Raw genomic sequence first — 16,747 nt, forward strand, 5'->3', positions numbered from 1 at the left:
GTGTCCAGCCTTGATTTTTTCTTTTAAAATTCAAAGTAGCTTTGCTTTATCTGATTCTAAAGTAATGTGGCTAGGCACAGTGGCCCACACCTGTAATCGCAGCACTTTGGAAGGACCAGTTGGGGGATCGCTTGAGCCCAGGAGTTCAAGACCAGCCTGGGCATCATAGTGAGGCCTTGTCTGTACAAAAAAAATTTAAAAAATTAGCCAGACGTGGTGGTGTGTCCCTGAGTTTCAGCTACACAGGAGGCTGAGGCAGGAGAATCATTTGAGCTCAGGAGGTCAAGGCTGCAGTGAGCCTTGTTCATGCTACTGCACTCTAGCCTGGATGACAAAGCCAGACCCTGTCTTAAAAATAAATAATAAATGAATGAATGAATTCATTATTCGTTCTTTATAAATCTTTATAAACTAAAACTTATAAAACTTAAGAACAGACAGATATTCCTTTAATTGGATAAAAAATCTATCTCAGGCCTAAAGGTTACATGATACTTAACTGCAACAGTAGAGATATTCCCTCTGAAATGAATTTAAAGCAGAAGTATTGTTAGATCCTTTATTATTTAGCATTGTTATTGAAGTGCTAGCCAGTACAAGACCTGAAACATAAATAACTATTTATCCCCAAAAATCAGCGAATAGAATTTTCAAATCAAGAAGAAAGTAAAGATCATTTTTAATCTTGTTGTACAGAGATAATGTTAAATTTTTATTCTTCCAAACTTTTAAATTCCCTGTCCCTCTCTTCTATATATGGGCATATTGTATGTGTGCTTTCTTTAATATAAAAGTGTTGTCATACCTGACACACTATTTTTGAAGCTGCTGGACTCTATATAATCTTAGTATCTTTCTTAGTTAGTTAATATAGATAAACATAATCATTTTTAATGATTGCATAGTCATCCATATGTCATTATCCATTTACCAAATCTTCTATTAATAAACATTTAGGATTTTTTTAGTTTATCTATCTTTGTATACTTGTCAAATAATTTCTTTAGGGTAAATTACTAGAAATGGAATTACTGGGTCAAAGGATTTATGTATCTCAAGTCTTTTCCCAAATTGTGATACAGAAAGCTTATGTCAGTTTAGTGCTATGAGCAGTTGCATTACAGCTGTACCAATGCTGGGTTTTACTAGGTATTACCAATCTTTTTATTCTTTGTCAACCTGATAGGCTATAAATTATCTCACTATTTTATTTTGCATTTCATTGATTTTGTATATGGTGTCTTTACTTTACATGAATTTTCAAATTTTATCTCCAATTTATTTATCTTTCCCCTTAACAGTCTTCTAAATTTTGGGCCATTCTTAGCAAGGTCACACTATTGCAAAATTATTATTTTTCTATTAGTTATATTTTCTTTAGTACTTATGATTGTATTATTTGTTTGCTTTTTACATTTTAAATAATTTAGCAATTTAGAATTTGACTGCAAGATGTAAAGTAGGAACTTAAATTTCATATATTAAAATGGTCCAGCCGGTTGTCCTAACACATTTTGAATAATTCATCATTTCTCCATTGATCTGAAAAGCTACTTTTATTATATACTGAATTTCCATATACACATGGGACTGTTTTAGGATGACTTTTTATTATGATTAGGTAGATCTGAAGACTCCCATTACAATATATTGTATTAAGTCCAGAAATGTGCTTAATTCTTAAACTTACAAATGAAAAAAAATTAATAGTATAAATGTTTATAGCTAAATATGGTCATACTCAGAGATGTTATTTTATTTTTTCTGTTTTGGTTTTAGTGGAGAAAGTAGCAAATGAAAGCCAGAAGACCCCCAGGGATGTGGTTATGATGGAAAACTTTCACCATATTTTTGCAACTCTTTCTCGATTGAAAATCTCATGTCTAGAAGCAGAAAAAAAAGAAGCCAAACAAAAATACACAGATCACCTTCAGTCTTATGTCATTTACTCTTTAGGACAACCTCTTGAAAAACTAAATGTAAATATATTTTCATTCAGTATTTTTCCTACTTTTGAACCTATACACATAAGTTTGCATATGAATAACCTGCAGACATTTATCTTAAATTTTCTCATGTGTTGGTGCACAGGGGACTCAGTTATTGAAGCTGCCAGTGTGCCAGACACTGCTAGATGCTATATATTTTATTTCTTCTTTCTGTACATTATTTTTATACATTATTTATCTACTATATTTTAATGATAATTGTACTAGTATTCTATTATGCATTATTTCTTTTAATTCTTATAAACAATGATGTGTAAGCTAAGATAATATTATCCCCATTTCACAAATGAAGAAACTGAAAGTAAAAAAACTTGCCCGACATCATAATAGCTTATAAATTACAAAGCTGGGGGATGAACCTAGATTAGGCTTTGCCGTTACTCTTTCCCATTTCTTACTTTATAAATGACCAAGTTTACAATGTCTAGGTGGAAATTTCAAAAATATTATTAAGATAAAAGAAAAACCAAAAATTGCTTTCTACATTGCCTTTTACTTTTCTTTCCCTTCTTTTTTTTTCCTTACTTGAGTCATTTCCCAGAGTAAGTCTGTTAATTAAAGTTAAGAAATGATGATTTTAGGGAACTTTACAAGATAGTGAAAGCTTAAATGAACCTTTTAAACTAACTTTGTCTGCAATATAGTTATCTTTTATAAGCTCTTAACTTGAAGTTAGAGTAAAATAGCGCGGTGACTCACACCTGTAATCCCAGCACTTTGGGAGGCCAAGGCAGGCGGATCACGAGGTCAGAAGATCGAGACCATCCTAGCTAACAAGGTGAAACCCCGTCTTTACTAAAAATGTAAAAAAAAATTAACTGGGCGTGGTGGCACGCTCCTGTAGTCCTAGCTACTTGGGAGGCTGAGGCAGGAGAATCACTTGATCCTAGGAGGTGGTGGTTGCAATGAGTGGAGATCACACCACTGCGCTCCAGCCTGGGCGACAGAGCAAGACTCAGTCTCAAAACAAAACAAAAAAAAAGAATATGTATCTGCTGTCAACAATTCAAAGAAATACTTGAAAGACATTTAATCAAATGCAGAACTAATTCCTTATAAAACTTAAGAACAGACAAATATTCCTTTAACTGGATAAAAGATCTATCTCAGGCCTAAAGCTTACATGATACTTAACTGCAACGTTAGAGACATTCCCTCTGAAATCAATTTAAAGCAGAAATATTGTTAGATCCTTTATTATTTAGCATTGTTGTTGAAGCACTAGCCAGTTCAACAAGACCTGAAACATAAATAAGAGATATGGAAAACAGAGACGAGATTATCACCACCTGTATATGATATGTTGAAATTACTGGTGTTGGTCAAGTGACAAAATTTAAAGCAAATATACTGAAAAACAATGTATTTCCTGTCTACCAATTAAGAGCTTATGTAAAAACAAAATTTTTAAAGCACTAAGAATAACTTCTCAAAGAATGATAATTTAATGAATAATCACTAAGAAAATTTTAGAAAAAAGTAATGAGAGGGAATGGGGTTTGTCAGCATTAATTCTTTGTATCGTGCTCAAATACAGTTATGCCAGTCAATAAAAGTATATATATAAAAGAAGACCTGGGAATAATAGTTACAATAATATAACAGAGTCAGTATATTTAATATAAAAAATCTTACTAAAATCAATAAGAAAAGCACTAAGACCCCAATTTATAAATGGGGCAAGGGGCTGAATCACTACTAAACATATAAAAGCAGGTTAACCTTATTTATAGCCAAAGAATTATAAAATAAAATGACAAACTTTTTTTACTCTGGCAACTATTGTTATAAATTGTCATAATGCTTATGATGGTATAGTGAAGTAGCAACCTCATACACTGTTGACAGAAATATAAATTGGTTGAGCTTTCCTAGGAAGCAGTTTGTATATATACTGAAGAATCTTTCAAATACTTAAAGTTATGCTCTTCAACAGAGTAATTATAGTCCTGGAAATTTAATCAGTAAGATGGGTAAATACTTATATACAAAAAAAATTTATGACAAATATATTTATAGTAGATTTTCTAAAGTCTCACTAGATTTGCCAAGTCCAAAAAAAGAAGGGGGAGTGGGATGTTAAATATCTAGTACTAGAGGAATGAATAATAATTGTGGTTCAGTCATTGTGTGAAATATTATGCAGCCATTAAAATTTATATTTAGGAAAAAACAATATTAAATGTAAAGTGGGACATGAAATTTTAATCTCCTGTATGTATTCACACATCAAAAGATTACAAGGAACTCTACAATATTAACAATGTTCATCTCAGAAGTATGTTAATAAGTGATTGTTATTTTATTGTTTATACTTTCACACACTGATTTTTGCATGGTGATTATACACTACTTTGTAATCAGATTTTTTTAATGTAAATAATAATAAATGCAGGTCTTAGCCATTGTTTCTTTTCATTTCCTTGAAGCATTTCTTTGAAGGTGTTGAAGCTCGCGTGGCACAGGGCATAAGGGAGGAGGAAGTAAGTTACCAACTTGCATTTAACAAACAAGAACTTCGTAAAGTCATTAAGGAGTACCCTGGAAAGGAAGTAAAAAAAGGTCTAGATAACCTCTACAAGAAAGTTGATAAACATTTATGTGAAGAAGAGAACTTACTTCAGGTATGCTTACTTCTTTTGACCATCTGACTTAAAGATCCTTACATATATTGCTTTTCTTTAAATAATTTTCTAGAAATGCTACAGATCTAGAGCAGGAGGAGAGTTCCATTAGAGTACAGACCAGATTAATGAATTGTGAGGAAGAAAGGAATACTGTTTATATAAGCATATATGGCTATTTCTGCTTATTTCGTATTTCTGCTATATTATGGTGAGGCATTAAGTTTGTTTTTCTTTGGTTGGTTGGTTGGTTGGTTGGTTGGTTGGTTGAGTGGTTGGAATTAGAGATGGGTTCATAATCTGGCTCCAGATTAAGCTGTGTGACTTTGGGAAGTTACTTAACCTCTCTGAGCCTTAGTTTCCTTATTTGATAAGTGGAAACGATACATCTCTTGTACAGTAGCCACTGTATTGGGCAACATAGCAAGACCTTGTCTCTACTAAAAATTAAAAAAATTAGCTGGGCATGGTGGCACGTGCCTGTAGTCCCAGCTACTCGGGAAGCTGAGGCAGGAGGATCACTTGAGCCCAGGAGATTGAGGCTCCAGTGAACTATGATCCTACCACTGCACTCCAGCCTACGCAACAGAGTGAGGCCGTGTCTCAATTAAAAAAAAAAAAAAAAAGAAAGAAAGAAAGAAAAAGAAAGAAAGAGAAAGAAAGAAAATCAGCTTAGAGAGGTGGAGTAATAGGACCAAGCTCTCTTAACTAATGGGTAGTGGAGCCAGATTTAAAGTCCAAATTAGGCCATTATTCTTTATAAACCATATTGAAAGGCCCAGATATGAGTGAGAGTAATTCTGATTTCAACATCATGGAAGACTTCCTGAGGGATATTGCATTGTTTGTTTTAACCTCTGAAAGTCAGATGTACTTGAACAGGCAAAGTGGGGATGGAGGGAGTAGCATTCTAGAAAGAAATAATATGAGCTAAACGATGAAAAGTAAAAAGCATAACACTGCTTAGGGAATAGCGATTGGTCTTAAGTTGGCAGGAATTTAGGATTTATGAGATTTAGGATTTACAAGAAAAAATCTTGGAAGAATACATTCCCTCAGCTGTCAAATAGGGAAGATGATCATAATACCCACCCTCACCAGGTCATCATGAGACTTAATACTATAATATATTCATAAAGTGCTTTGTACTGTGCTGATAAAGAGTAAGCTTCAATTAATGTAATCTATTTAAGCCATTATGTCAATGTGTGTATCACATTGTGTCTTGGTAATTGTCTACATATTAGCCTCCACTGTTAGATTATAAATCACATGATTGCAGATAATGGGTCTGAGTCATTTTGCTGTCCTCCAAGGCATCAAGCAAGGTTTTGCATCAACAATTTTAGATAAAGAAAACTTTAAATGTTATAGGAAATGAAATTAAAGCATTACATTTTATGTAATCACTAGTCTTAGTTCTATACATAATTGTGCATATCCACATCTGTGTTGCATATTGGAGTATATAAGATAATAGCTAAAATGTCATGAGTGCTTACTTGTGTCAAACGCAGTTTGAAGCACTTTATGTACATTTCTTATTTAATTCTCACAGCATTATGAGGAAGGTCTTATTATTATCTTGGTTTATAGATGAGGAACTTGAGGCATAGAGCAGTGATGTCATGTACTGAAGGTTACAAATCTTGTAGGTAAAAGTGACTGGGATTCTGGTTTCAGAATGCATGTTCCTAGCTACTATACTACCCAAATTCTTAGAATATGCCTTGGCATTATTTCTGCATACTAGATTACATATTATTTCCATTCATAGCCTAATGACTTTTTTTTTTAATAATAGGTGGTGTGGCACTCCATGCAAGATGAATTTATACGCCAGTATAAGCACTTTGAAGGTTTGATAGCTCGCTGTTATCCTGGATCTGGTGTTACAATGGAATTCACTATTCAGGACATTCTGGATTATTGTTCCAGCATTGCACAGTCCCACTAAACCTTGTGAAAGAAGAAAAGATAACTGAATGAAGCATTTGAGTATAACAGACACTATACCAAAATACCAAGCAACTGTTTTGAGAACCCAGACTTAAAATTTTATGTATTATTAAATGTTAGATAAATGGGTAGTACCATACTACAAATATTTAAATGCAAAATTACCAACCTATATAGCAGTTTTATTTGCCCTATAGGTTGCATACTAACTTAAGCATTCATGTCACCATAAAATGCCTTTAGCATTTCTCAATGACTGGATGGGAAATTTTCCTTTATTGCCTAGCTGCTTGTGTTTGAGTGGTTGTCCTATGAGCAATGCATTTGGAGTTCTTCAGCTTTCACTACTTCTCTGTTGCTTGCTAATCATGTAACTACTAAAATACTGTACAAAATTGTTTTTTCACACTAACAAATGTGTATATGGAGAAGAGGGCTCATGTGATGATCATTTGTGAACTTAGATTTTTGAGGATTATGTGACTAGTAATAAATGTGAAATAAATTTTCAAAAAAGTTGACATTTGATAATATTTTTAGGTCTATCATATGCTGTCTTCTGTATTAAAGCAAGTTCTTACAAAATCCATATACAAAAATTAATTGCAAGTTTATATACCACAAAACACTTAAAAGTTTAATAATAAGTAAAGTAAGCCGGGTGCAGTGGTTCATGCCTGTAATTCCAGCACTCTAGGAGGCCAAGGAGGGAGGACTGATTGAGGCCAGGAATTTGAGACTAGTCTGGGCGACACAGTGAGACCCTGTCTCCATAGAAGAACAATTTTTTGTGGTGGCACATGCCTATAATCTAAGCCACTTGAGAAGCTGAGGCAGGAGGATTGCCCCAGCCCAAGAGTTTGAGTGAGTTGTGATTGTGCCACTGTACTCCATCCTGGGCAACATAGCAAGATATTGTCACTTGAAAAAAAAATAAGAAAAATAATAATATTGAAGATGTTTAGTATTTAGGACTAACTCTAACAAAAGATGTGCTATATCCTGAATTGTGGCCCTACTAACATTTTATGTTGATGCCCTAACCCCCCATGTGGCTGTATTGGAGATAGGGTCTTTAAGGAGACGATTAAGTTTAAATGAGGTCAGAAGAGTAGGAACCCTGATCCAATAGACTCAATGCCCTTGTAAGAAGAGGAAGAGACAGCAGAGCTCACTCTCCCTCTGCTGTGGGAGGGCACAATGAGAAGGCAGCTGTCTGCAAACCAGGAAGAGAGCCCTCACCAGAACCTGACCATGCTGGCACCATGATCTCAGACTTCCAGCCTCCAAAACTGAGAAAATAGTTTGGCAGCCCAAGCTAATACAAGATGTATAAGACATTTATGGAGAAATTAGAACTACTGAAAGATATTAAAGAAAACCAAAATAAGTGAAGAAGTATTTAATGTTTCCAGATAAGAACACATATACTAAAGTAGAAATGGCAGTCCTTTTTGTTTTGTTTTGTTTTGTTTGTTTTTTTTTGAGAGAGACAGGATCTCTCAGCTCTGTTACCCAGGCTGGAGTGCAGTGGTGTGATGATAGCTCACGGCAGCCTCTATCTCCTGGGCTCAAGTGATCCTCCCACCTCAGCCTCCCAAGCAGCTGAGACTACAGATGTGCACCACCACATCTGGCTAATTTTATTTTTTGTAGGAATGGGGTCTCACTATGTTTCTCAGGCTGATCTCAAACTCCTGGGTTCAAGTGAGGCTTCTGCCTCAGCCTCCCAAAGCACTAGGATTACAGGTGTGAGGCACTGCACCAGCTGGCAGTTATTTTCAAGTTTAAAGATTCAGCACAGTTCCAGTCAAAATCACAACTGTCTTTGTTTGGTTTTGTTTCTGTAGGACTTGACAAGCTGATTCTAAAATTTATATGAAAGATCAAAAGACTAATAGCCAATACTCCCCTTGGAAGCTGGAAGGAGTTTCCTTATCAAGAATTATAATTAAAGCAGCATTTTATTGGTACGAAGATAAACAAATAGACCAGTGGAATGAAACTGAGAGCCCAGAAACAGAACCATAAAAAATGGACTATTACCCGTGTGGCACGGCAAGTCAGTGGGGAAACGATAGACTTGGAATAAATGGTACTGAGACATTTGGTAGTCCATAAGAGAAAAGGTGAAAATGGAACACGTGTCTCACACCACACACACAAAATGAATTCCACGTGTACTGAATACCTAAATGTGAAAGGCAAAAACTATATAGAACTTTTCAAAGACAGTGTAAGAAAATATCTTTTTTGCCTCAGGACAGAGAAGGATTTTGTTTAAAAAGACACAAAATTGCAAATTGGAAAAAAATAATAGATTTGACTATATTAAAAATAAGAACTTAATGGTCTTTTGATGAAAGTGAAATAACAGTCCACAAATTAAGAGAATATAACTGCAACACGTCACAAAACAATCAGCATCCAAAGCCTATTTTTAAGCTCCCAAAAATCAGTCTAAAAAAAAAAAACCATAGAACAGAAAAACCCAAAAACCTTACAAAGGCATTTCACAGACGAAGGAAACAGAATGGCTAATAAACATACGAAGTATTCACCTTTATTTGTTATCAAGGAAATGTGAATTCAAAAGGATGTGAAGCCATCAAAACACAAATGCTTCTATAATCACTTAAACCATCTGACATTATCTAGTAAAGATGTGTGTCACCTATGACTCAGTAATTCCAGTCTTAGGTGTGTGCCCCAAAGGAATAGATCTTAAAATCCTGTATGTCTCTGCCAGATACCCTCCCCTTCGTTTCCTGCTTTACACATTAGAATAACCTATGTGCTTATAAATACATGTGGCTGGGCCCCAGACATTACATTTCAATTGGTCCAGAGTGGGGCCCAAGCATCTATGGTTTTTAAAAGCTTCCCACTAATTCTGGTACTCTAAGGATTGAGAACCACTGCCACAAAGAAACTCATGTATTATGAATTAATATTAGGTTGGTGCCAAAGTCATTGCCATTAAAAGTAATGGCAAAAACTGCAATTACTTTTGCACCAAACTAATACAAAGTCTAATGAAAGTTCCCATCACTACTTTTGTTTGTAATAACAAAAAACTGCAAATAACTGCAAAAAACTGCAAATAACCCATATGTCCATAATGGTAGAATGGATAGATTGAGGTATATATTCATTCAGTAGAATACCAATACAGTAGTGAAAATGAAAGTAAATTTCTGCTATACAAACAATGTACATTAATGACAAGAAAATAATGTCAGATGAAAGTAAATCACAAAATACATGCAGTATGATCCTATTAATATAAAAATTCAGAAACCTTTAAGATTAAATAATATGTGGTTTGGGATTACAAATGTAAAACTAAAGAAAAGAGAATGATAAAATTCTGGAGTGATTGGAGGAGCAGGAAAGGAAGGGGATGGTGTCTGGCAGGGACATACAGGATTTCAAAGGGATATTAGAATATTCTTAAACTGGACAGTGCATACACAGATTTTTTGTATCCTGATACTTTATATCCTATATATAGTTTATAATTTTTTTTTTGAGACAGGGTCTCGCTCTGTCACCCAAGCTGGAGTACAGTGGCACGATCACAACTTGCTGCAGCCTCAACCTCCTGGGCCCAAGCAATCCTCCCACCTCAGCCTCCCAAGTAGCTGTGACTACAGGTGCATGCCACCATGTCCTGCGAATTTTTTTTTTTTTTTTTAAAGAAGGGGTTTTGCTATGTTGCCCAAGCTGGTCTCAGACTCCTGGCCTCAAGTGATCTGCCCACCTCAGCCTCCCAAAGTGCTGGGGTTACAGGCATGAGCCATCATGCCCAGTCATAAATCTTATTTTATATCAATTCAACACTTGATTTAAATATTTAAAATCAAATTCATATATGTGGATATGCATATATCTTTACTGATAGATAATGAAACCTAGACATTTATAGATAAGATCTAGGACCAAAGGAGATTTTAGTGCCTTGATCAAGGTCCAAGCCAGGTATTAACAGAGCTGATATTCCACACAACACCAAATTCCCTCTCAAAGTGCCAAACACTTCCTTTTCTCTATTGATATCAGGGATGACACAGATATAAACATATACCACCTCCAAGGACAAAACAGTGTCTGGTATCTTCATTAGCAGGCAATGGTTAATTGTAATGAGGTGATATGGCTCTTACTTAAAAGGTGGTGGATAACTCCCATCAGTTATAGTTTTATAAACCTTAAAGATCTATACTATTATTTGCTAGAAGTGATAACAAGAGAGGAACACAGAACTTTTAAACAAACTGTTGAAAATCATAACTTAGAGAATATTTGTAGATGAGAAAGTACTAAGAAAGTAAAAATAGCTTTTCCAGGAAAGTTAAATGTGTAATATCAATGGTGTCAAAGATTATTAGTTCTCATGGCTATATGCTTTGGGATCCTCTACTTCAATGTTTCTCATTGTATTTATTAAACAACTGGGAATCTTGTTGAAATGCATATTCTGATTCAATAGGTTTTGTGTCGCCCAAGATTCTGCATTTCTTACAAGCTCCCAAGTAGCATCAATGCTGCTGTTCCACAGCCCCTGCAGTTCAAGTTGCAAAGCTTTGAAGTGTAAAGTTACATCATTTGTGCCTCTGAATGACACTAGGCACCAAGGATATATATATCCTTCATATATATGGTATATATCCTTCATATATATGGTATATATATATCAATATATATGATATATATATCCTTCATACATTATATATATGAATGTATATGATATATGTCCTTCATATATATGATATATGTATATGAAGGAATACTAGTCAGCCATAAAAAGGAATGAATTAACAGCATTTGCAGTGACCTGGATGAGATTGGAGACTATTATTCAGAGTGAAGTAACTCAGGAATGGAAAACAAAACATTGTATGTTCTCACTGATATGTGGGAGTTAAGCTATGAGGATGCAAAGGCATAAGAATGATACAATGGGCTTTGGGGACTCGGCGGCAAGAGGGGGTTGCAAGGGATAGAAGACTACAAATATGGTGCAGTGTAGACTGCTCGGGTGATGGGTGCACCAAAATCTCACAAATCGCCAGTAAAGAACTTACTCATGTAAGCTGACACCACCTCTACCCCAATAACTTATGGAAAATTTTTTAAAAAGAGAGGATGGGGGAAGAAAGTCAAAAGGCGGTGGGATAGATGAAACAGGGAAGAAGAATATATTAACATAGATGGAGAAAGCGTTATAGGACCAACAGGCTCATGTGCCTGCTGCAGTAACAGACCAATTACACAGAGATAGCGGAGATGCCACACACAGTTTAATGACTGTAGGTGTCTGGGCACGTGGCTCACGCCTGTAATTTCCACATTTTGGGAGGCCGAGGTGGGAGGATCGCTTGAGCCCAGGAGTTTGAGACCAGCTTGGACGACATGGTGAGACTCCGTGTCTACAAAGTTTTCTTTTAAATTAGCTGGGCATGGTGGTAGGCATCTATAGTCCTGGCTACTAGGGAGGCTGAGGCAGGAGGATCACTTGAGCCCAGGAGTTTGAGGCTGCAGTGAACTGTGATTGCACCACTGCATTCCAGCCTGGGTGACAAAGCAAGAAATATCCTGTCTCTATTTTTGTTAATTAATTAATTATTGCAGGTGCTGAGCAAGAAGATGTGAGGAGACCCTCAAATCCATCTCCCAGAGAAGTTCCAGGCTGGAATTTTTAAGGGGATCATGGAGAGTGAGGGGTTGGAAAATTGGGGTCAGACAAGGGGGATGGATCCATCAGGATGTGAAAACTACATTCTTTGGTGAGTCAACTCCTCATGGGGAGCCTTCAGACCAGCTGAGTCAGTAGCATGATCAGTGTGCAGGACCTGAAGGACTATTTCCAAGGGAAGACTAACATTTCACAATGTGAAAGTTGTTATCTATAGAGCGGTTAAGGAAAATGGTAATCCAGGGTCTAGGTGATTCTAGGACACTAGGCACAAAACCATGAAGAAGCAGGCCAGAGAGCAAGCTGACCTCATGGTTAATGTTGAATATGCTGCAAACTTGGTTTATTTTCCTTTCTCCCCTCTCTCCTTCCCTGGTTAATTTTATAAAGTTTACAGGGCAGTTTCAAAAGGGAGTTCTAGGAGGCAATGGAGAATACAATAAGCAAGACAAAGCAGCAGCAGCCTATGAGCATATTGCTTGCCCAGTGGTCTTGCGAGAACGGCTTCTCTGCATTCAGCATCTCAGTCAACTTCACATGCGTATCTGGATCTCATACAAGATGATGGGTCTTTCTAGAAGTTACATATTTTGCCTAATTGACTAGAAGAGAGGATAGTGAAGAAGTTAAATTGAAGGCATATGTTCTGATCTGAATTTTATACTTGTCTCCATTTAATTTTAAACAGCTTTTCCTGTCATCCTTTAATTTAAATTATGTTGCCCCATAATTCCCACCTAAGAGCCTATTCTTTTCCTTCTTGGCATTTACCTGAATTTGAAATATATTTATTTGTCTCTTTATTTCCTCAGTATCTTGCCTCCCACACTTAGATTGCAAGGTTTATAATTTGGATCAAGACTGTTCTGTTTACTAGTATCTATCTAGCACATGTAAGTACTTAATTAATATTACATTTTGGGGGCTTGGGGGATTTTGTTTTGAGGCAAGTTCTCGCTGTGTTTCCCAGGCTGGAGTGCAGTAGCACAATCATGGCTCACTGCAGCCTCAACCTCCTGGTCTCAAGCGATCCTCCCACCTTAGCCTCCTGAGTAGCTGGGACTACAGATGCACCCCCACCACACATGGCAATTTTTAACAATTTTTTGTAGAGATGAGGTCTCACCATGTTGCCCAGGCTAGTCTTGAAATCCTGGCCACAGGAGATCCTCCCACCTCAGCCTCCCAAAGTGCTGGGATGACAGGCGTAAGCCACAGCACCCAGCCTACTGACAGGCATAAGCTATAGCACCTAGCCTAAATATTAAGTTTAAAAAGACAAAAAGTGAGCTGGGTGCCGTGGCTCACACCTGTGAGCCCAGGGCTTTGGGAGGCTGAGGCGGGTGGATCGCTTTGAGCTCAGGAGTTTAAGACCAACTCGGGCAACATGGCAAAACCCCATATCTACAAAAAATACAAAAATTATGGCTCACGCCTGTAGTCACAACTACTCAGGAGGCTAAGGTGAGAGGATCACTTGAGCCCGGGAGGTGGAGGTTGCAGTGAGCCGAAATGGCACCACTGCTCTCCAGCCTGGGTGACAGAGCAGGACCCTGTCTCAGAAAAAAAAAAAAAAAAAAAAAAAAGACAAAAAGTGAACAGGTCATTAATTCATGGAAAGATGAAATGGCAACTCCTATTTCTTTATACTGCCTTCAGTGTCTAAAGCACAGCCATACTGTCCATCGTCAGTTCCAGTTGGGTGGAGGCTCTGCTCACTTTGTTCCCTGCTTGAGCCCAGTGCCTAATATGCTGCCTTGCTTCAAGAGCTCAGTAACTAGATGTTGAAGACATATTCATGCTAGGGTCTGAGTGAAGGAGTTGTTATCTGGAAGTTGGCCCACAAAGTAAAGAAAATTGTGCTCTGCCTCTAATTCTTACTTCACACAGCATTCAATACAGGATCTTGCACACACTGTAGTATCAATTCAACCTATGCCTGTGGATTGAATTAAGTTCATGAAGGGAACTAAGCGAACGTTATTGCCTGTAGAATTTAGACATGCTCTCTTTGGGAAGAGGATTTTCTAGATCTACTTCTATAAGGCCCTCTGCTAGACACTGTGGGCTGTGGGGACTGCCTACTCTGCCTTGCTAATAGAACACTGCTTTTTTTTAAGTCTCGTTCTGTCACCCAGGCTGGAGTGCAGTGGCGCTATCTCGGCTCACTGCAACCTCTGCCTTCTGGAGAACTTTGCTTTTTATAAGGCAGGAACATGCCCAGACTAAGGTAAAGAATCAAAATTGGCACAAAGCCAATTTTGTGCCAATCTGCTGCATATTAAAATCACTGGGGAAATGTTAAAAAATACTGATATCTGCAACCCACTTCAGCCAAATAAGAATCTCTGACCGACAGCAGTGGCTCGCCCTGTAATCCCAACACTTTAGGAAGCTAAGGCGGGAAGATCATTTGAGCCCAAGAGTTCAAGACCAGCCTAGGCAACATACTGGAAACTTGTCTCTACAAAAAATAAAAAAGAATTAGCCAGATGTGGTGGTGCACACCTATAATCCCAGCTACTCAAGAGGCTGAGGTGGAGGATTGCTTGAGCCCAGGACGTGGAGGCCGCAGTGAGCTGTGATCATGCCACTGCATTCCAGCCTGGGTGACAGAGTGAGACCCTGTCTCAATCAATCAATCAATCAATACATACATACATACATGCATACTACCTCAGGATTTTCCTAAACATAGTAATCATACTTTAAAATCTTGTTATTCAAAAATTACACTTTAGAATCTCCACATACAACTCAAAGTACGAGACCTATAACTGCATAGTGATTTGTCTTTTTGGTTTTTTTTCCTAGAAGTATTCTAGGAAAAGCAAAAGAATATTCAACAGTAGCCTGGCTCTAGCCATTTGCAATTAAAATGAGAAGGTGAAATGTGGCATCACACACTATTGTAGATTAGAACAGTACTTTGTTTCATTAATGGTTTTATAAGCCTGATTTTACTACTCAAGAGTAGTAATGAGTTGTTTCTGTGTTGAATGAACCAGCACATTAGTTTTAAAGTGATGTGCCATTCATGCTTTAGGGCTAATAGAGAACAGAAGCTGTGTCCTTGTTTGGGAAGAAAAGATGAACTAAAAACCTTACTGGATGAATGTACAAATGCTCTGGTGAGCATTTTGAAATGAGAGGTATTAGTTTGGTTTCTTGTGTCCAATATGAGGGGAAAGGTAGGAGGTTTTCTACTGAGGGATCAAAGAAAAATGTAGACCACTGAATGATATGTGTGCATTCACAGCAAATATGTAAAAATAACGTGTATATAAATAGTAGAGTGTGGGCACAGTCATTTAAAATTTTAGAACAGTGGGCTAAAATTTCTTTAAAGGTTATCTAGACGTTGCTTTTAAGCATTAGGGGGTCCTATATAAGTTTCATTGAGTAATGGATTATATAGGATAAATAAATTCTTGCCCAAATTTTACACTCATTTACTGGGTAACATTAGGCAAGTTATTTAACATTTTTGGGTCTTGAGAAGCACAATCATGGTACTTTTGTGTCTTGTACATGACACATCATTATTTGTGCAGAAAAATGTGAGGGTTATTTGGGAGAAATTGTATGTTGTTTCATTCCAATTTAACATATCTGGCATTTGCCATATTTTAAGAGAGATATTTAGCCTTTGGATAGTTTGTGTGGGCCAACAGTTCTTTTTAGTTTATCCCCCAGGCTTTGCCAAGTGGCAACCAAACCAATATCTATTGCTCTTCAACAACTTCAAGGTCAGCATTGACCAGTCAATATTATAGCCCTTAGTCCAGGAGAACTTTCTAAAAGGATTTTAAAGTGCTGGAAGAATACATTTAATCCAAAATACCACATGCTTTCCTAAGAAAGCTTGGAAGCCTTAAATTTAATATGAATGAAAATAATCTTAAAGTAGTATTAAAATTTACTTATGATAACTTTCCTTGAAATTTATAAACCAAGTTTTCTTTAAATTAATGATAGCTATAAATGTACTACGTCTACCCTGTGCTCATAAAAATTCATGTCCATATTTATTTATTCAGGAGGAGTAATCTGCTGTAAGATTGATCAAACCATGAAATGTATCACAGTGAATAGGACTCCAAGTAGAAGAGAGGAGGAGGCTCTGACTTTTATCGATGAAGCCTGAATGATGTGCCTCTCCCTAGGGCACTATTCTAAGCATTCTGATTTTTCTGCTGCTTCTCAGAATCCCTTGTCTTTTAAATAATTTCTTGCTGTCTAGTCTTGTCTTTGGACATATACACATAGTTTATTTTTCTGTCTGAAAAATTATATCGCTTTTCAACAGAAAGTACAAAATCTCTCAAATTACTCTGTACATAAATCAAACTGTCTCTCATTCTATATCACAGTAGAATCATGCTGGATCCTGGTGGGAATATCCACCACCGTCCCACTCTCAACAAGGACTGGGCATATGACAAAACTAACTGGAC

The 16,747-nt window shown here is 36.7% G+C and overlaps 1 protein-coding gene and 1 long non-coding RNA gene across 15 annotated transcripts in view; one reads left to right on the forward strand and one right to left on the reverse strand.

Annotated features, from left to right (window-relative positions):
* Positions 1 to 7,181, forward strand: part of EXOC1 (exocyst complex component 1) — a 51,439-nt gene extending 44,258 nt beyond the window's left edge. For all 9 annotated transcript variants that reach the window (XM_005265747.4, XM_017008405.3, NM_001024924.2 and 6 more), the window contains 3 exons: positions 1,780 to 1,979; positions 4,439 to 4,633; positions 6,438 to 7,181. In XM_005265747.4, the coding sequence (XP_005265804.1) occupies positions 1,780 to 1,979; positions 4,439 to 4,633; positions 6,438 to 6,590 (548 nt within the window). In that variant the 3' untranslated portion in view covers positions 6,591 to 7,181. The remainder of the gene's footprint in view (positions 1 to 1,779; positions 1,980 to 4,438; positions 4,634 to 6,437) is intronic.
* Positions 1 to 16,747, reverse strand: part of EXOC1-AS1 (EXOC1 antisense RNA 1) — a 58,421-nt gene that overhangs the window by 8,314 nt on the left and 33,360 nt on the right. For 2 of the 6 annotated variants that reach the window (XR_002959795.2, XR_002959794.2), the window contains one exon: positions 2,930 to 3,249. The exons of 2 other annotated variants lie outside the window; for them this stretch is intronic. This is a non-coding gene — a long non-coding RNA (EXOC1 antisense RNA 1). Of the gene's footprint in view, positions 1 to 2,929; positions 3,250 to 16,747 lie in introns of those variants that run through there. 2 more of the 6 variants (XR_941069.4, XR_941068.4) reach the window with 2 other exon arrangements.

The sequence above is a fragment of the Homo sapiens genome, chromosome 4 (genome assembly GCF_000001405.40).
Source record: "Homo sapiens chromosome 4, GRCh38.p14 Primary Assembly".
NCBI lineage: Eukaryota > Metazoa > Chordata > Mammalia > Primates > Hominidae > Homo > Homo sapiens.